The sequence below is a fragment of the Homo sapiens genome, chromosome 10 (genome assembly GCF_000001405.40).
Source record: "Homo sapiens chromosome 10, GRCh38.p14 Primary Assembly".
Lineage (NCBI taxonomy): Eukaryota > Metazoa > Chordata > Mammalia > Primates > Hominidae > Homo > Homo sapiens.
The window spans coordinates 63,989,176-64,010,984 of NC_000010.11; the positions used below are offsets into that span (position 1 = coordinate 63,989,176).

At 40.8% G+C, this 21,809-nt stretch overlaps 1 long non-coding RNA gene across 5 annotated transcripts in view; it reads left to right on the forward strand.

Annotated features, from left to right (window-relative positions):
* Positions 1–21,809, forward strand: part of LOC124902439 (uncharacterized) — an 820,351-nt gene that overhangs the window by 116,587 nt on the left and 681,955 nt on the right. For 4 of the 5 annotated variants that reach the window (XR_007062161.1, XR_007062160.1, XR_007062164.1 and 1 more), the window contains exon 2: positions 1,094–1,202. This is a non-coding gene — a long non-coding RNA (uncharacterized LOC124902439). Of the gene's footprint in view, positions 1–1,093; positions 2,648–21,809 lie in introns of those variants that run through there. The other variant, XR_007062159.1, reaches the window with a different exon arrangement.

The window sequence follows — 21,809 nt, forward strand, 5'->3', positions numbered from 1 at the left end:
TGTCTAATTCAAAGGTTATGAAAGTAGAGGTATTTTTGGTAAGGAAAGTTATAAAGAAAAGAAATTTTATATGAGAAAGGATCTTGCATGGCAAATTCTTGTCCAAAAGCAAAATGACTGGTTTAAAAAAGAGGGATGTTTAGGACAAGTCAGAAAGTCCGAGCATGTTGTAGATGGTCTGTATAAGTCATGAGAAGATTTGTGAAAGGGAATTTATGAAAGAAATGCTGTATGATTTTAAAGGTTATTAGGGCTACTAAATACTTTAAGGTCATAAACTGCTACTGTGACTCTTAATAACTGTACAGCTTGCCTACTTTAAAGTCATTAAAGTCTATGTAAAACCTGGGGACATATGGAGTTAGCTATGACCCTTACCTATGCTGGAAAGAGTCAGAATTTTATTTCATTTTGACATCTTTACTTGTCTTAAGACGTGAGGAGTCACTATATTTGTGACCAGTTAGTTCACCAATGCCTCCCCACTAATTGGACTGGAACTTGTACCATAGGCTATGTATCCCTGGACATCTTCATAGCCCCTGGCAATCTCTCTCTTCCAGTACCAATCTATGGGCATTACATCTTGCCCAAGATGAAGAGGGCCATGAAATTAAGTCCCCTTCTCACGGGACTTAGCATTATAGCTGATACACCAGAATTGTTGGAGTCACACAAGCCTTGACCTATAGCCAACTCTCAGTGGAAGTAGCCAACAATATTATACCATGGTTAAAACCTCAACAGCCATGCAAGAACAAATGGACTTTTTATCAGCTGTAGTCCTCCAAAATTGCCGAGAGCTAGATATGTTAATGGCAGAACAGGGAGGAATTTGTTTAGCCTTAGATGAAAAATGTTGCTTTGGGGTCGGCCAATTGGGAAAAGTACAAGACAACATCAGACAACTCATAAATTGACCCTCCTGTTTACGAGAATGAGCCTCTCAGGGTTGGTTAGATTGGGATGGAACCTGGTAATGATTCTTCTGGGTTCTTCCATTTTTAGGCCCACTTGTTAGTCTCCTACTTTTGCTCCTTTTTGGTCCATGTCTTCTAAATCTAATACCCAATTTGTCTCCTCTTGTCTTCAGGCCATCAAGCTCCAGATGATCCTCAGTGAGGGATACCGCTCTCTCAGTATTCAAGAGTCACCCTTCCACAGAGAAGCCCTAGACTGCCCATCAGTGGAATATGAGAGAGGTAAAATCCTGCCCCTGTCTCCTTCTGACCTGGCTGGATACCATTTTCACCAACAGATTCACCCACACAGTCACCCTGCCTTGACAGCTAGCAAGAGGCCAAGACACACAGAACAACGACTACCACCCCTCTGACAGCAGGAAGCAGTTACAGAAGACTGACCTTTGTCCATTTTCCCAAAGAATTGGGTCTTGGACTCTTGGGGGCAGGAATGTTAGAGTAGGTAGTTAGGCAGATGTGAGGAAGGCAGGGGAGGACCCCCCACCCCAGGAATGTCAGGCGACCATCACGTGATGTCAGGTGGTTTTTAAACTGTCTCTCTGAAATGATAATTGGTTGCAGCTGGCTCCAGGGTAAGACAGTCTCCCAGTAGACAGAAAACACCTAGAGCTGGTGATCAGCAACTTCCCAATAAGATCTCAGAAGCTGGGCAAGTGGGCTGAAGCATGTGAACTAAGAAGCAAAATGACTGATGTATGATGTTCCCCTGGGGGTGTTTGCCCCCAGAGAGTATGTGCCCAATCTTAGTAAATGCACTGTACATGTGGTCACCCTCCCAAATGCTGACCGACATTGCACATGCAGTAGTTGAGCAACAGACTGCCCCAAGGGAAGATTCAATGGAGGAGAAAAGAAAACCCCAGAGCCATGTCAATGTATAAAACCCCAAGTCAAAGGCTGAACTAGACACTTGGACCTCTTAAGTTGCCTGCTTGGCCCTCTTCCAAGTGTACTTTGCTTCCTTTTGCTCCTGCTCTAAAACATTTTAGTAAACTCTCACTCCTGCCCTGAAACTTGCCTTGGTCTCTCCCTCTGACTTAATCCTACTTGTGCCCCTCAGCCAAATTCTTTCCTCCAAGGAGGCAAGTATCAAGTTTGCTGAAGACCCGTACAGATTCACCACTGGTAACAATACCATGATGGGGCATTTGTTCATTATCCTGAAAGTAAGGGGAGTCGTGAAAGAATTGTAAGCCAACAAAGGACAAGATTATATGTAGATTTTAGCAACATGCTGGTGGCTGCATGAGGAGCAAGAATTAAATGGGAGCCAGAACAGAGGCAAAGAGGCTTGTGGGAAACTGCAGTGAACCAAGCAAAGATGAGGCAATGAGCTCCTGGTCTTCAGGAGCTGACAGTGAGATGGCAAGGAGGTCATAGTAGAGGAAGGTGACATAGGTAACTGTAATGAGACCAGGCCTATTCTAGTAATCTTGTGTGGGTAAGGTGGACATGGGTAGTTTGGGCAAAAATACGGTAAGTTCAGTGTTAATAGTGTGAGGTACCTGTGGAAGATCTGGGTAATATTCAGAAGGAAGTTCATTTACTCATTGTTTAACACATTATTGAATATCTGGGATGTGCTAAGGACCACTCTGTGGTAGTAGAATCAATCACAAAAAGGTAAAAATCCCTGCCTTTATAGAGCTTATATTCCATTTGGAGGGGAGGAAATAAAAAAAGAAATATAATAAATAAGTGATGTCGTAGATTAGCAGGTAACAAATGCTATGGAGCCGGTAACAAGAGCAGTACATGGGGATTGGGATGGGAGTAGGGAAAAGCACAGGTTTCAATTTAAACAGGGTGGGCAATGCAAGGCTTCCTGAGATGGTGAGATTTGAGCCAAGTTCAGAAGGAGGTAATCAAGTGAGCCACACAGGTGTTGGAGGGAAAAGCATTTCAGGTATCAGGAGTAACCACTGCAAAGCCCATAGGAAGAACAGCTGGTGTTCTCAGGAGCAGTTAATGGGTCTGGGATGGGGTCAGCAAGTGGGAGAGTGGAAGTAAAGGGGACAGAATGGGCAGGGGGCACCTAGGTCAGGTAGGGCCTTTGAGGCTGCTTTAAGACGGTTGCTTTTTACTGGAGATGGGAATGTTTGGAGAGTTTATGGCAAAGGATGACATGATCTGATGTAAGTTTTAACAGGATTATTCTAATTTGCTGGGGTGATAAGCAGGGAAACCAGTCAGGAGGCTAAGGCAGGAGTCCAAATTATGGGTCATGATGACTTTGACACAGTGAAAGTGGTATAGCTGGTAAGCTGTGGTTAGATTTTGTGCATATTTAGAAATATTTGCCATTAGATTGAATGACAGGAACATGCGTAGGTGAAAAAGAGGAGTCCATGGAGTTGCCATCCTTGGCTAGAGAAAGACTTTGGCATTATCAATGCTTACTTGGTTATTGGAACCATGGAGGCAGATGGTTGAGGGAGAGTTCATAGAAGGGAAAAAAGAATGCAAAGTTGGGAGATAACAGACTCCTCAATACATGTAGTTGAGGTCTTGGCTGTATGTCTGCAGGAAATGCTAAGATCCTCAACTCAAGCCATCTCAAAAATGAATTTCAGATACTAGCTATTAAAAACAAAATTATGATGGGTTAGAAAAAAGTGTAAGAGATGCTGTTTATAATCTTAGAATACAAAGGATTTCTTAAAATTAAAAAAATCATGAAACTTACTCTAAGAAATGACTCCATTGAAATTAGAAACCTTTTATTTAAAAATTATAAATAAGATTAAAAGACAGAAGACAGACTTCAAACTTCTTTTCATCCTTTTGTCCTATACTAGAATGTTCACAGCAGCTTTATTCATGATAGGCACAACTTGGAAATATCTCAGGTGTCCATCTATGAGACAATGAAAACCAACTGTGGTGCAATCACATTACTCAGGTAATAAAGGGAACGAATCTTGAGAACAGGCAACAACAGAGAGGATCACACAACTTCACACTCAGTGGAAGAACCCTTACACAGAGGGGGTGAATCCTGTATATTCCCATGTACAGGAAATTCTAGAGCTGCCAGCACTAACCTGAAGTGCAGATACTCTCTGCAGGGTTAGGGAGGGGAGATGGGAGGATGGCCTGAACCCAGACGTGCAGCCAAGGGGGGCCAGGTCAGCCCATCCCAAAGCAATCTTCCCCCAGGGTTTCCCTGTTTTCTCCCCATGCTCCAGATTTAGCACATCATTTAGCACATAATGGGTGAAATGACCAGTGTAATTCAACAATGCCCAATGAATAATAAACAGAAGTGCTGGGTGACATTTTGGTCAGCGGGATCTCAGGCATGTGCATTTCTCTACTGCAAACAACTGAGGTTGGCTGATATGGGGAGGAGGGAGCAAATGGCAAACTGGAGTTCTGGACCTCTGCCTCTTTCCTTCTCCTTTAAGTGCTATTTATAGTTTTTACTTAACTTTTTTTTTTTTTTTAACTTAACTTGCTAACATGGGCCAATATATAAGAAAGTGTTTAAGCAAGATAAAACGCAAAGTACATTTTAGATATACTGTACTCACTGTGGCAGTAGAATTCTAAGATGGTCCCCAAGATTCCTGCTCCTTGATATAGATACCCTGTATCATCTCTCTCCCCTTAAGGATAGGCACGACCTGTGAATATGATGAATATCACTCCTGGTGATTATGCTCGTCTTTATGGGGAAAGGAAGATTATCCTATTATCCATGGTGGGCCTGGCCTGATAGGTGAGTCCTTAAAAGGGACAGAAACAGAGCAGGCACTAGAACTTTCAGTGGAGGGGACCACATGGATAGGACCTTAGGGTGGCCTTTGGGAGCTGAAAGCAGCCCCCAACTGACATCCAGCCAGAAGATGTGGCCTCAGTTCTACAACTGCAAGAATCAAAATTCTGTCATCAATCTGAGTGAGTCTGGGAACACTCTGAGCTCCACATGAGACTGATGCCCCAGCTAACACCATGATGTTAGCTTTGTGAGGCCCTAAGCAGCTCAGCTCCACTTGCCTGGACTTCTAACTCATGAAACCATGAGATAATACATAAATGTTTTAAGACACTTAGTTTGTGGCAACTTGTTAGGTAGCAATTGAAAACTAATATATTCACATGTCTGGTACCTTAGGTAGAAACTGGAATGTTTTTCTATTCAGGAACTGTTTCTAGAAGTGAGGCAGGAGGGTAGCAGGGAGGGCAGTGCTTAAGCCAGACTCTTTGGAAACCGAACCACAGAGAAATGTGGAAGGGGCCTGGGAAGGACGCTCCCTGAGGTGAGCCAAGTGGCCAATTTGTACTTGCACCATCATGTATACTTTTCTTGGGGCGTGGTCTCCTGTTGTTCTTTATTCCAAGGAGAGGGGATGGTGTGCGGGGTATGTTGGGCTTGCCACTTTGAATCAGAGACACCTAAATTTAGACACGGCCGTAGAGGACTCACAGCTCTTCCTGCAGATGATCCTTCAGACTCAGCTTTCATCTGCCCAGCAAGGACAGCTGTGGCTTTGTGAGATGCCCTGCTCCATTCTTGGGCAGCCTGAGTGGTTTAGGACAGGGCTTTTAAAAACGGGGTATTATCTTCTCTTGACAATCTCCCTTTGCCCCATTTAAACATATTTTCCTCCTTCAAGTATTCTGCCTCTGAAAGGGGTTTTCAGAGCTCCCAGCCTCCTCCTTGGAGTCCCCATAGAAACTCTGTGTCACACAGTGATGCTCTGTGTAGGCTAGCTGTCAACATGGCTCAATGCCATCTTCCCTCATTTAGCATGATTAATATGAATTTGTGGTTAATTATGAAGTTAGTTATGTTAGTTAATTCAAATATTCTGGCAAGCTTTAGTAAGCTCCTGTATGAGCCTAGAATTTTGCAAGGGTGCAGGGTATGAAAATAAAATGGCAGGACCCTGACCCTTTACCACCAGAGCTTAAAATTTAGTTGGAGAAATGGCCTGCAAACAACTAATAAAAGGTCATATGGTGACTATGTAATAAGCATGAAGTAACAGCTTCCAGGAAATTTCAAGCACTGTGTGATCGATATTCTTCCTTTCTCTTCATTTATACCCAAATGGCATGAAGGGTGCTTTTGAGAATGCTCACATTTTCGGAGGAGATTGTAGAGTATGCCCCTCCCACTGGTGGCCACAGTACCATTTGCTGCAGCAGAGACTTCAGCAGATAGCAGTCCCAATGTTATTTCCTTGTTCAGATGCTGGAGAGGCCTCGAATGCAAGGAAGGGACTAGATCTCTTGTGAAAGTACATGGAGTAGGATCCGCCTGAAGTCCACTTGAAGATTCTTCTCTTGGTCTGTTCATTAAGAAAAAAGAATTTGTAGACCAACTATCAAATAAAAGGAGAAGGAAATGTATACTTAAACAGAAAACTATACTTACACCTTTGGTTTGGAAATTTTGATTAATATTTATTGTCATGAGTTTGAGCCCTAACAGGCTCTTCTAAATAAGGAGAGAGGCAAGTTTTCATCAGATGACCTAAAGCAAGAAATACGCACAGAAAGAGCAAGCTCTCCTATGGAGAACTCGGGAGCCCCACACTCCATAAGTGAGCAGGTGAGAGTGTGGCCCTTGAGAATGCCACTGGCGCCCCTCTGAGAGGCAGCCACCCTCACTGTCCACTGTCCACTGCCCAAGGCTCTTCAGTCTTTCACTGGGACACTGAGCAACACCATCAGAGAGCCTAGTGAGGGGAAGTGCTGTTGAGAAATTGAGGGGAGCGAGGCTACATGGATCCTGCATTTGCTCTGGAATATTCAAGGAGTCCTGCACAGCACAGTTGCTGGTGCAGCAGGAGGTCAGAACATCCTTTTTTTCCCCCATCCTGGGAGTTGGTGCCTTTGGGATTCTGTGGGTAAATGTGCTATTTGGATTTCTAAAAGAGGCTCCCCTTCAAATTCTAAAAGCTTTGGATGAGCCTCATAAAACCTACATTCACCTCTGGATTCTAGCTGCTGGTGATACCTATAAGGTCATGCTTTCAAGGTAATTAACACTACTATGGGGAGCCCTGCATTTCTTTGGGGCAGCCTGGAAGAAGAGAGAAACAAGTAGGAAGCTGCCCTTTAGAAATCCCTGCATTCATATGGCAAGAGTGCCCAGGTCTCTTTTTATCCATTTTTAGGATGGATGGGGGACCAGAGAGGAAGATTGAGTCTCCAGGCACCAGAGAGAGGGTGGTAGAAGGTAGATGAGCAAAGCTTTGACCACCACTTTTGCCTAGTGATGGAGGGCTTTTGGGTAGGAAGGTATCTCAGGCAACTGGTAAGCAGAAATTTTCCTTTCTCTTCTGTCACTTAAGAAATTGTGTATTAAGCTATTTATTTTTTTCATTGTAAAATATGTGCCATATATGGAAAACTTAGAAAATAAAGAAAGAAAAATTACTGTTCCTACCACTTTGACGTAATATATGTTAATATTTTGGTGCATTTCCTTCAACTGTCTTTTCCTCTATGTGTTTTCAATAGTTATCATCAATTCACATATGTATTTTAATACTTAATATTATTAATAATAATTTTCTATATAATTACTTTCCGTAAGGACTGTTTTATTGGTTGTCAAATAGTCTAACTGGTTTATACCATAATATATTTAACCAAGTGCTTGTTATTAATCTAGGCAGTGTATCAAACTTAGTGGTATAAAAGAACAACCATTTTGCTATTGTTATACATTCTGTGGGTCAGGAATTTGGGCTGTATGATTCTTACGTTCTTGCTCTCATCTGAATCACTCATCTGGCCAAAGGGCTGGTCTGGAGGATCTAAATAGGCTTTACTCACAAACCCAGTGACTTGCTGAGGATGAGGTGGACATGACATGTCAACTGAAGTGCCTTCACATCATCTCTCCAGTATGGCAGCTCAGTGTAGCTGGGCTTCCAGCTTGGCAATTAGCTCTTGAGCATTCTCAGAGGGGGCATAAGGAGAGTGAAGGTTTCAAAACAGCCAGTCAGAAGCCAAAAGGACTTTTATGACCTAGACTCGTAAATTACATCACATCCATTTTACCTTTCTGTGATTGTAGAAGCAGTCACAGGCCCGCCTAGATCAATGGAAGAGGGGAAGAATAGACCTTAACTCTTCATAGGAAAAGTGTCAGAGAAATTCAGTGGCACTTTTAAACACCATCCCCAAGGTGTAGATCTGAACTGCCCAATAAGGTATCCACTAGTCACACATGGCTATTTATATTTAAAATAATTAAAGGTAAATGTGATAAAATGAAAAATTCGGATAAGTCTCACTAACCATATTTCAAGAGCTCAAGTACCACACATGGCTAGTGACTATGATCTTGGACAGTACAGCTATAGAATATTTTCATCATTGCAGAACATTCTGTTGGACAGCTCCGGGAGACATTGTTCAATCCACTCAGAATGAGTATGCCTTTCCCTCAGATGGTAGGTTCTAAGAATAATGCCTCACTAAAACTAGCCAGGAAGTTTTGGATAATGGCTGGGTTTGCGTCTTGGGCAGGAAATAAGGAAGATAAGACAGAAAAACCATGTTATAACTTACAACAACCTATCATGACATTTGTGTCATGTCCAAAGGGCAAAAGAGCCAACTGAAAGATGCTCTCATTTCCCACATGGGAGACAATTTGAGCACTGAAATATTAATAATTGCAAAGTATTAACAGCATCAAATATGTCCTTATTCAAAAACAGACATGGGGAGGGCAAGATGGCTGACTAGACGAAGCCAGATGGAACTGCTCCCATGGAAGAGACAGAGATGACTGGCAGGCTCCTAACAGATCTGCAGAGAGAAGGCACTGAAAGTGCACAGAGGAAAAACACAGAAGCTGGGCTGAAGTGTGAGGTAGCTGGGAACCCTGCATGGAGATACCATGCACCAGGACTCATTCCTAGCCCCCAAGGGCTCTGGGGGAATGGGTGAATTGAACTGTCAAGGAACAACCTGCTCTTGCCACAGGCCTGTGGAACCCTGGCAGAAGGAGACCCCTTGACCACCACAGACATTAGAGTTGGCAAGGAGAGCTGCTTAGAGAAGTGATAGAGGCAGCAAGCTGGCTGATGTAGATCCTTGAGGGTTTGTTGTAAGAGCATCTACAGTGGAGCATGGCTGGGGCAGCCATCCTCCTAGGCTCGACTTGCTTCCATAGGAGACTTTAGCCCTAGGGGAACTGTCAGACTTGAACTCTGCAGGGTAGCCTTTTCTATCAGATGGGACCACTTCAACCTGAGCACCCCCTTGTCTGTTGGCCTCTCCCAAGGCCCCAGCCTGGCTATGTCTGCCTGCAGGACAGACTGAGGTGCTCTGGGAGCCTGCACTAATAGCGTCTGTGTTGGTAGACTATGCCTGACTAGCACCCTGCTCCAGCAGGGGGTTCCCATGGCCATGCACCAGCCATACTACAACAGCTTCCCCTGGGACCCACAACAACACCCCACGTTGCTTTGCTGGTGCATCTGTGTGGGCAGGTTTGGCTTTTCTTGCTCCACCAATGCATGGGAGTGCAGTCTGCCTCCCTTCCCCCTACTAATTGCTATTGCAGATGGAGCCTTTGTAGGCACAGAGCCAGCCAGCCTCACCCCTGCCAGCACCCTGCCCTTGCACTAACACTGTGCAGAGAACAGTGGATCCTCCCTACCCTGAGTGACCACTCTTGCTTTCAAGGCAAAAATAAGGTACCCTGACTTGCTCCTGCTAGTGCCCTGCCCCCAAGCCAACACTACCTCCAGCATGACCATGCACACAGTTGCCAGCAGGGACCCCCACTGCTCCCACCCCCCTGCCCAGCTGTGTTGCCTCTCCCACTGTAGTAAACACCTGCAGGGAGGCAGGCAATCTGACACCCACTAGCACTCTTCTGCTAGGAGATGGATCTCACTACAAAATGCTTTGGCTGACACCATGCATCAGAGTGTAGTGACCAGTGGTCTGGGAGCAACTTGGCCCCCACAGCACAGTGGATTCCTAACCTTGTGTTCTCTGCTGCCAGAGAACAAAGTTGGGGCCCAATATAAGTCCTCCAGAGTTGGAGGATGCTGTCCAGGGGTTGGGAGCTGAGCATTGGCCCCCTAAAGTCTTCCAGAAATGAAGCCAGTTAGCTGAATCCACCTTATACTACAATCAAACCCTCAAGGTCACTAAATACTATAAAAGGAAAAAAAACCCATCCAAAAGGTCAGAAACCTCAAAGATTGAAGGGAGATAAGCCCACAAAGATGAGAAAGAATCAGTGCAAGAACCCTGAAAACTCAAAAAGCCAGAGTGCCTTCTTTCCTCCAAATGACCACATCATCTCTCCAGAAAGAGTTCTGAACTGGGTCTGAGACGGCAGAAATAACAGAAATAGAATTCTGAATATGGATAGGAACAAAGATAATTGCACTACAGGAGTACATCAAAACCCAATCCAAGGAAGTGAAAAATCATTATAAAACAATACAGGAGCTGACAGACAAAACAGCCAGTATAGAAAAGAACATAACCAACCTGGTAGAGCTAAAAAACACACTACGAGAATTTCATAATCCAATTGCAAGTATTAATAGCAGAATAGACTAAGCAGAGGAAAGAATCTCAGAGCTTGAAGGATGCCTTTCTAAGATGAGACAGTCAGATAAGAATAGAGAAAAAAGAATGAAAAGGAATGAACAAAACCTCCAAGAAATATGGGATTATGGAAAGAGACCAAATCTACTACTCATTGGTGTTCCTGAAAGAGATGGGGAGAATGGAACCAACTTGGAAAATATATTTCAGGGTATCATCCAAGAGAACTTCCCCAAACTAGCTAGGCGGGCCAATATTTAAATTCAGGAAATGCAGAGAACCCCAGTAAGATAATTCACAAGAAGATCATCCCCAAGACAGATAATCACTGGATTCTCCAAGGTCAAAAGGAAATAAAAAATATTAAAGGCAGCCAGAGAGAAAGGTCAGGCCACCTCAAAGCAAGGCCCATCAGACTAACAGTAGGCCTCTCAGCAGAAACCCTACAGGCCATAAAGGATTAGAGGCCAATATTAAACATTCTTAAAGAAAAGAATTTCCAACCCAGACTTTCATATCTAGCCAAACTAAGCTTCATAAGCAAAGGAGAAATAAGATCCTTTTCAGACAAGAAAATGCTGAGGGAGTTTATTACCACCAGACCTGCCTTGCAAGAGCTACTAAAGGATGCACTAAATATTGAAAAGAAAGACTGTTACCAGTCACTACAAAAACACACTGAAGTACACAGACCAGTGACACTATAAAGCAACCACATAAACAAGTCTTCAAATAACTAGCTAATATCATGATGACAAGATCAAATCCACACACATCAATACTAACCCTGAAAGTAAATGGGCTAAATGACTGAATTGAAAGACACAGAGTGGCAATCTGGATAAAGAACCAGGACCCATTGGTATGCTGTCTTCAAGAGACCCATCTCACATGCAGTGACACATATAGGCTCAATATAAAGAGATGGAGAAAAATCTACCAAGCAAATGGAAAACAGAAAAAATCAGGGGTTGCAATCCTAATTTCAGACAAAACAAACTTTAAACCAACAAAGATCAAAAAAGACAAAGAAGGGCACTGCATAATGGTAAAGGGTTCAATTCAATAAGAATATCTAACTATCCTAGATATATATTCACCCAACACAACAGCACCCAGATTCATAAAGCAAGTTCTTAGAGATCTTCAAAAAGACTTAGACTCCCACACAATAATAGTGGGAGATGTTAACACCCCACTGACAACATTAGACGGATCATTGAGACAGGAAGTTAAAAAACATATTCAGGAACGGACCTCAGCATTGAACCAAATAGATCTGACAGACATCTACAGAACTCTCCACCCCAAAACAACAGAATTTACATTCTTGTCATCATCACATGGCACATACTCTAAAACTGATGATATAATCAGAAATAAAACATTCTTCAGCAAATTCAAAAGAACTGAAATCATAACAAACAACCTCTCAGATCACAGTACAATCAAATTAGAAATCCAGACTAAGGAATTCACTCAAAACTACACAGCTACATGGAAATTGAATAACCTGGTCATGAATGGCTTTTGGGTAAAAAGTGAAATTAAGGCATAAATCAAGAAGACCTTTGAAACTAATGAAAAGAAAGATACAACATACCATAATCTCCGGGACACAGCTAAGGCAGGTTAATACGGAAATTTATAGCACTAAATGCCCACATCAAAAAGTTAGAAAGATCTCAAGTTAACAACCTAACATTATAACTAAAAGAACTAGAGAACCAAGAACAAATGAATCGCAAAGCTAGCAGAAGACAAGGAATAACTAAATCAGAGCTGAGCTGAAGGAGGTTGAGATGTGAAAAACCATTCAAAAGATCAACAACTCCAGGAGCTGTTTTTTTGAAAAAAAATTAATAAAATATATAGACTACTAGCTAGACTAATAAAGAAGAATAAAGAAGATTCAAATGAACACAATCAGAAACAACAAGGGGGATATTATCACTGACCCCACAGAAATACAAACAACCATCAGAAAATATCATGAACATTTCTATGCACATAAACTAGAATATCTAAAAGAAATGGATAAATTCCTGGACACATACACCCTCTCAAGACTAAACCAGGAAGCAATTGAATCCTTAAACCGACCAATAATGATCTCTGAAATAGGGGCAGTAATAAATAACCTACCAACCAAAAAAAAAGCAGAAGGCCAGATGGATTAATAGCTGAACTCTACTGGATGCACAAAGAGCTGGTGCTATTCCTACTGAAACTACTCCAAAAAATTGGGAGGAGGAACTCCTCCCTAACTCATTGTATGAGGCCAGCATCATCCTTATACCAAAACCTGGCAGAGACACAACAAAAAAGAAAACTTCAGGCCAATATTCTTGATGAAAATCAATGCAAAAATCCTCAACAAAATACTGGCAAACTGAATCCAGCAGCACATCCAAAAGCTTATCAACCATGATCAAGTAGGTTTTATGCATGGATGCAAGCTTGGTTCAACATATGCAAACCAATAAATGTGATTCATCACGTAAACAGAATTATAGACAAAAACCACATTATCTAAATAGATGTAGAAAAGGCTTTCAATAAAACTCAACACCCCTTCATGTTAAAAACTCTCAATAAACTAGGTATTGAAGGAACATACCTCAAAATAACAAGAGCCATCTATGACAAACTCACAGCTAACATCATACTTAATGGGCAAAAGCTGGAAGAATTCTCCTTGAAAGCCGACACAAGACGAGGCTGCCCTTTCTCACCACTCCTTTTCAACATAGTATTGGAAGTCCTGATTACAGTAATCAGACAAGAGAGAGAAATAAAGGGAACCTAAATAGAAAGAGAGGAAATTAGACTATTCCTGAGCTTTTTGGCTGAGACCGTGGGGTTTCCCAGATAGAGGATCGCAACCCAGCAATCTCATTACTGGGTATATACCCAGAGGAATATAAATTGTTCTATTAGAAAGACACATGGATGTGTATGTTCATTGCAGCACTATGCACATAGTAAAGACATGGATTCAACCTAAATGCCCTATGGCAGACTGGATAAAGAAAATATGGTACATATACACCATGGAATACTGTGCAGCCATAAAAAAGAATGGGATCATATCCTTCACAGGGATATGGATGGAGCTAGAGGCCATTACCCTTAACAAACTAATACAGAAACAGAAAACCAAATACTGCATATTCTCACTTATAAGTGGGAGCTAAATGATGAGAACATATGGATATCTAGAGTGGAACAACATACACTGGGGCCTATTATAGTGTAGAGGGTGGGAGGAGGAAGAGGATGAGGAAAAATAACTGATGGGTACTAGGCTTAATACCTGGGCAAGGAAATAATCTGTACAACAAACCCTCATGACACAAGTTTACCTATATAACAAACCTGCATGTATACCCCTGAACTCAAAATAAAAGTTAAATTTTAAAAAACCAAAAAACCAAAAACCAAAACAAAAACAGACATGTAAGAAGAAAGCACCAAACACTTATCCTGTCCTTCCTGAACAGACTTAATTTTAGGGACACTGAAGAGTTGATAAGGGAAAAATGTATTTAGTAAATGCCAGCTAATAATTGCAGAAGGAATGCCAGAGTTAGAAATAGACAGCTTTTACTACTTTTAACAAAATAATATATCTAGTTAATGATCATTAATGGCCAATAACATGATTTGGTAAAATGTTGGTAAGAAAGAAATGTTTAATGGATAAAGAAGGCTGACAATATTTGAACTGAAGGATTAATTTTAAGAGCACAGAGAAACAACAGGACTGAACGTGCTTTCTAAAGTGATAAAATAAAAACCACACAGCAACTGTGAATTGCCCTTCCCAAACCAGAACCTGATTCTAATAAAGCCTCAACATTTATTTCTGTTTTTACAGGAATATAGGGATAGTGGAATGTGTTAAACAGCAATTGATTGCAATATGACAAATATAGAATGTGGGGAATTCTAATTTCTTCAATAAACAAATGAAAATAAAAGGAGGAAAGAGGAACTTATAGAGTAAAAAATAAGAAATGTATGACATATTCCAACTAAAAATGGGTACATTGGGCCAAGTGTGGTGGCTCATGCCTGTAATCCCAGCACTTTGGGAGGCCGAGGTGGGTGGATCACTTGAGGTCAGGAGTTCGAGACCAGCCTGGCCAACATGGTGAAACCTAGTCTCTACGAAAAATACAAAAATTAGCTGGGCATGGTGGCTCACGCCTGTAATCCCAGCTACTTAGGACACTGAGGCATGAGAATCATTTGAACCTGGGAGGCAGAGTTTGCAGTGAGCTGAGATTGCGCCATTGCACTCCAGCCTGGGCAACAAGAGTGAAACTCCATCTCAAAAATAAATAAATAAATAAATAAATAAATAAATAAATAAATAAATAAATAAATAAAATAACAGTGGGTACATTGTTTAGATCTAAATTCAAATGCACCAATTGTAAAAGCCAACATTTTCTTACACAATTAGAAACATTTGAGCACTGACTTTATACTTGATATTAAATAATTGATATATTTATGTGTGTTAAAGATATTTTAATTAACTTAGTAAAGGAGTTCATAATCTTCAATGATTTACGCTTAAGAATTTGTAGATGAAATATCTTTCTAGAATTTGTAAAAAATGTTTAAAAATTAGTAGGTATATAGAGGGTGAAGAAATTGAGAAAACCAGGGTATCAAAACACATTTTGATAACTATATGTTGAAAATAGATGATGGATTCTTGGTTCTTCATTGTGTTTTTCTCTTTCATTTTGTATGCCTCAAAATTTCAATGATAAAGCATTAAAATATGATTTTATGTCAATTACTTAAATGTTAAGATTTTCTTGTTACCATAATTTTATGTGTTTTTCAGGGCAATATACTTTGTACATTTGTTGGTAACCTTTTATTTTCTGATACCGTTTTAAAAACTTTTTTACTTCTGTTGCAATTCTCACTTCGTATTTCAAAGGCAAGCCATATAATTTGAAATGACTCTCCTAACAGGAAAATTACATGATAAAGTAAGTTCTGTGTGGCATCTGCCCTGACCTAAACAAATAGGATGCTGCTTCTAAGCTTCCTATCAATTACTGACATGTATTATCAAATTATTATTTTTTATAGTGAGGAGTCTGATTGTATATGAAATATTCAATTTAAACAGGGACACATGGCTGGGGACAGTGGCTCACGCCTGTAATCCCAGCACTTCAGAAAGCCGAGGTGAGAGGATCACTTGAGCTCAGGAGTTCAAGGCTGCAGTGAGCCATGGTTGGGCCACTGCACTCCAGCCTGGGTGACAGAGTGAGACCCTGTTGCTAAAAATTAAATAAATAAATAAAAGGGGCACACAATATAAAGTGATAAAACTGTGGAACAACCAAAGAGGTCTGCATTTGGTATTTCATATGTGCTGATGGTTGTGCTAAGCACTTTGTGTGCATGAATGCTGAAGTACTGGGTAGGAATTCTCTGTATAGGTAGCGGGTCTGGAATGCAGAAAAAGTGGGCTGGGGAGGCCCCATGGCTCAGATGAGTCAATTGGGACCCCCATAGCAGGTGGATGGCCTGAGTACTGTGCTCTCCTCTGTGCTGACCTCACCCAGAGCCTTCTGCACACTTGGCTGACAGATGTCAGCAGGAGTCTCCTCCCTCAAGTGCTATTTAACTACCTGCTTTCTCTTTTGTCTCTTCTCCTTCCCTCTTTTCTCTAAGTTTTAGTAGTGGGAAGTGGAAGACAGACCAATAAAACCCTCCAGTAAAAATGCTAAGTTACAAGCATTTGTTCCTAACTAGCCTTGGGCAAAACTCTCCGTAACAGCAGAGTAACTTAATTAGTAAATTGGACTTCCATTCAAAACATATACAGGGATCTACAGACACTAGGTAAATTCAATTTTCTCCTGATCTATTGTTTCCTGGGGGCTGTTATAAAGAAAGTGTCACTGCCCAAGTGAGAGACTTGTTTTGGGTTCCTACTTCAGGCAGAGAGAGATCCATGGGCCAAAGGAGCAGGACTCTTTCTGATTGCCTGTGCTGACCTTGCAGGGAGAATGCAGCCACCAGAGAGGTCCCAGACCTCTAAGGGCAGAGAGTAAAAATGACAATGTCACTGAGTGGCAGTGCATCCTGCAGAGAAGTTAGGTAGAGCCTTGAACAGGGCCCAGGCCACAGGGTCTTAAAGATTGTGCTTGGTCAAGCACTACATCTGATCAGTAATAAATAGTAGGTAAGAAGGAGGCATCTTCTGCACCAGACTCATAGAAGAGGGTCCAGACTAGACCAGAAAATCTCATCATTAAAAAAAATTATTTTAAGTTCCAGGATATATGTGCAGGATGTGCAGGTTTGTTGCATAGGTAAATGTGTGCCATGATGGTTTGCGGCATCTATCAACCCATCATGTAGGTATTAAGTTCCACATGCCTTAATTTTCTTGCCTCAGTTTGCTGAGGATAATGGCTTCCAGCTCCATTCATGTCTTTGAAAAAGACATGATCTCATTCCTTTTTATGGCAGCATAGTATTCCATGGTGTATATGTACCATATTTTCTTTATCTAGTCTATCATTAACAGGCATTTGGGTTGATTCCATGTCTTTGCTATTGTGAATAGTGCTGCAAGTATTCACATATGTGTGCATGTATCTTTATAATAGAACAATTTATATTCCCTTGGGTATAAACCCAGTAATGAGATTGCTGGGTCAAATGGTATTTCTGGTTCTAGGTCTTTGAGGAATTGCCACACTGTTTTCCACAATAGTTGAACTAATTTATATTCCCACCAGCAGTGTAAAAGTATTCCTATTTCTCCACAGCCTTGCCAGCATCCGTTGTTTCTTGACTTTTTAATAATCACCATTCTGACTGGCATGAGATGGCATCTCATGGTGGTTTTGATTTGCATTTCTCTAATGATCAGTGATGTTGAGGTTTTTTTCATATGTTTGTTGGCCACATAAATATCTTCTTTTGAGAACTGACTGTTCTTGTCCTTTGCCCATTTTTTAATGGGGTTGTTTTTTTCTTGTAAATTCCTTGTAGATTCTGGATATTAGACCTTTGTCAGATGGATAGATTGCAAGTATTTTCTCCCATTCTGTAGGCTGTCTGTTGACTCTGATGATAATTTCTTTTGCTTTGCAGAAACTTATCGGGGGAACCAGCCCCCAATATTTCAACGTAGGTTCTTTTCTATTTTCCCTAAGTGTCAGCCGGTCTGAGAAATAAAGAGAAAGAGTACAAAAGAAATACATTTTACACCTGGGTCTCCGGGGGTGATATCACGTGTTGGCAGGTTCCATGATGCCCCTGAGCCGCAAAACCAGCAAGTTTTTATTAGGGATTTCAAAAGGGGAGGGGTGTATAAATAGGGAGTGGGTCACAGAGATCACATACTTCAAAAGGCAATAAAATATCACAAGGCAAATGGGGGCAGAGCAAGGTCTCAAGGCCAGGATGAAATTAGAATTACTAATGAGGCTCCATGTCCTACTGTGCACACATTGTCATTGATAAACATCTTAACAGGAAACAGGGTTCGAGAGCAGACAACCAGTCTAACTAGAATTCACCAGGCTGGAATGTCCTAATCCTAGAAAGCCTGAGGGTGCTGCAGGAGACCAGGGCGTATTTCATCCCTTATGTTCAACTGCATAAGACAGACACTCCTAGAGCGGCCATTTAGAGTTCTCCCCCTGGGAATGCATTCTTTTCCCAGGGCTGTTCCTTGGTGAGAAAAAGAATTCAGCGATATTTCTCCTATTCGCTTTTGCAAGAAAAGAAATATGACTCTGTTCTGCCCAGCCCCGCAGGCAGTCAGACCTGACGGTTATCTCCCTTGGTCCCTGAAAATCGCTGTTATCCTGTTCTTTTAGGATGCCCAGATTTCATATTGTTCAAACACACATGTTTTACAAACAATTTATACAGATAATGCAATCATCACAGGGTCCTGAGGCGACATGCATCCTCAGTTTACGAAGATGACGGGATTAAGAGATTAAAGTAAAGACAGGCATAGGAAATTATAAGAGTATTGACTGGGGAAGTGATAAATGTCCATGAAATCATCACAACATATGTTCAGAGATTGCAGTAAAGACAGGCATAAGAAATTATAAAAGTATTAATTTGGGGAACTAATAAATGTCCATGAAATCTTCACAATTTATGTTCTTCTGCCATGGCTTCAGCTGGTCCCTCCATTCAGGGTCCCTGACTTCCTGCAGCAGAAACTCTTTAGTTTAATTATATCTCATTTGTCAATTTTTGCTTTTGTTGCAATTGCTTTTGATGTTCTCGTCATGAAATCTTTGCCTGTGCCTATGATGTGAATGGTATTGCCTAGGTTTTCTTCTAAGATTTTTATAGTTTTTGGGAAAATCTCATCTTTATATTCCCCAAGAAGAACCAGGGACTGATACAATCCACTCTCTGTGGCTTATATATACAGGGTGTCAAAAAAATGTTAGTTTAATTTTAAGCTTTAAGAACTTCAAAATTACAAAAAATTACATTTCTTATATACTTACTGAGATTTGTAAGGTTAAAATAATAAATTGTTAAGTTTTTTTCAAGCTTTATTCAAGGTGACAAATATTAACTGAAGCAAAACATTGAAATAAAATCTTTATTTTTTAAAATTCACAAAACTATATAAACATATAAGAAAGTTAAATAATTTAACTTTTAAATGATGTTTTTTGTAGGCTTGTAGCATTTATACTTCGAAAGTTATTAAGCTTAAAACTTGACTAAGACTTTGGGGACATCCTGTTATTACAGATCACTGGATAGATGCTTGTATAGGATTCATACAGTGTATGTATAATACTACAATATGTACATACATTTATTCAATGTACATATTTTCAATATTTATTGGCCATTTACAAACTATGTGCCAGGCATTGTTATAGGCACTGGGAATACAATAATGAACAAAATAAACAAAAATCCCTTTTCCCATAAAATTTATATATTTTTCTAATATATTAATAGTCATGTTGCTTGATGAATGAGATACATTCTGAGAAATGCATCCTTTGGTGACTTAATTGTGCAAACATCATAGAGTGTACTTACGCAAACCTAGATAGTACAGAGATTTTCATTTGTATATATTTTTTCATATGGAAAACCAAATGTCCCAGCACCATTACTGGATATCAATCATTTCCCCTACTTGATCTGCAATGCCAGTATCAAGTGCCATATATCAGGTTTCTATACATGCTCCGTTGTAATCTTACGGGACCACCATTGTATATGTAGTCTGTCAGTGACTGAAACATGGTTATGCAGTGCATAACATACATTCCTTATTTTGAAGTTTGGGTTCAATCATTATCAATAAATGCTTTAGAAATCTTCATAAAGTTCAAGAATAAGAGACTAGATTTTTTTTTCTTTGGATATAATTTCTTTAAAAGTATTATTATTTCACCTTAGAAAGAGGAAACATGAAGATCATAGGATAATAGGATTTGGGTTTATTCTGTTTGGGTACATTTAGGACCACAAACTCCTACAGACTGCACAGCAATCCTACTACATCTACTAGTCAACTCACTCTATTTCACACCTCTCTCTCCTCAAATGACCAGGATTCCTCAGCCAGCCCATTTTATTTTACAGAGAAAAAAAGAAGCAATCTGAGGAGAACTTCTGTATCTTCCCATATGAAACCTTCTAATCAGTCTGTATTTTTACCTATATACCCTGCTTCCTGACCCCGTCACCCCAATCCGGATGCCCAGTGGGTTGCTGACTAAATTTAACCCTGCTACCTGTACACTGGAGGCCACACCTCTTTGGGATACTAAGGATATTGTTTCTAAAATTTCTTCCCTTTCTTCTGTATCATCAACTTTTTCCTCTGTACTGGGTCTTTCCCATTAGCATACACACACTGTAATTTCTTCTATTAAAAAGAAAAAAGCTTCATTGACTTCAGTTTCCTCTCTAGCTGTTGCCCAATTTCTTGGTTCCCATTTACAGTAAATCTCAGGAGACTTGTCTCTACCAATTATTTACACTTTCCCCCCTTCTCTCTTGAACCCTCTCAAACCAGGCTTTTGTGCATCATCACTCCCCTTAAAAAACTTAATTCAGGGCCCAAGTCCAGGAGTACCACATAGCTAAATACAATGGTCAGTTCCCAGGTCCACCCTTGGTTTCTTAGCAGCATTTGCTCCATGGATTCACACCCTCCTTGAAGAAATCTCTTCTTTACTTGGCTTCCAGAACACCACATTGACTGACTCCTTCCTCTCAGTCTACTTTCTTGGCTTTTTCTCACCTTGCTCAAAATGGTGGAGCACTAGGTTGGATCCTTAGACCTTTGCTCTTCTCACCCTACTCACATCGTATGCCCATGGATCTAAGTCCTGTTCTTATCAGATGGCTTAAATTTGCATTTCAGCTCCAGTCTCTCTCTTCAACTCTAGACTGGCTAACAGCCACCTTCACATGTACTCTTGAATGTTCAGTTGACATTTCAAACCCAATATGTTCATGTCCTCTGCCATCCCTATACCTGCTCTCTTCACTGTCTCTATAGGAGTAAATTGGAGGACTATTACCAGACCAAATACCTTGTAGGCTTTTTATTTTTTATTTTAAGATTTGACCACTTTTTAACCTCTCCAATGCTACTACACTGTCCACTCTAGTCCTTGTTTACCCTCGTCCACTCCTGGACTACTACATGAGCCTCCTAAGTAGCTTCCTTGCTTCTAACTTGCCACTCCATGGAGCTTCTCCATTCAGCAGTCAGAATGATCCTTCTAAAAAATTAAGTTTAATCTTGCCACTCCTCTGTTCAAACTACCCAGATGGCTTCTTACAATAGCTGGAATATATATATGTATATGTAATCCTGTGCTGCAAGGCCTTTCCTGATCTAGTCCCTGCTTATGTCTCTTGCCTTGTTTCTCACCACTCTTTCCGTTACTGCCTTCTGGACTGCTTAGTTAGCCTGCATCACTGTGTGAGCCAATTCTCCTAATAAATCCTGACCCCCTCCCTCTATTCTATTGGTTCTGTTTTTCTGGAGAACCATGACTAATATGCTAAGTAAGACAAAGTAGTTCAAACAATAGGGAATAATTCCCTCCTTCTTATGTAGCAACCTGAGTGTGTGTGAGTGTGAGTTTGTGTGTGTGTGAGTGTGTGTGTTATAAAGGAAGAAAGGGGAAGTGGTGGCACACAGAAAGGATGGGTGAATAAAGAGTAGAACTCTGCTTTTAATGACAAAAGAGTTTGAGGAAATGTCTACAATCTGAA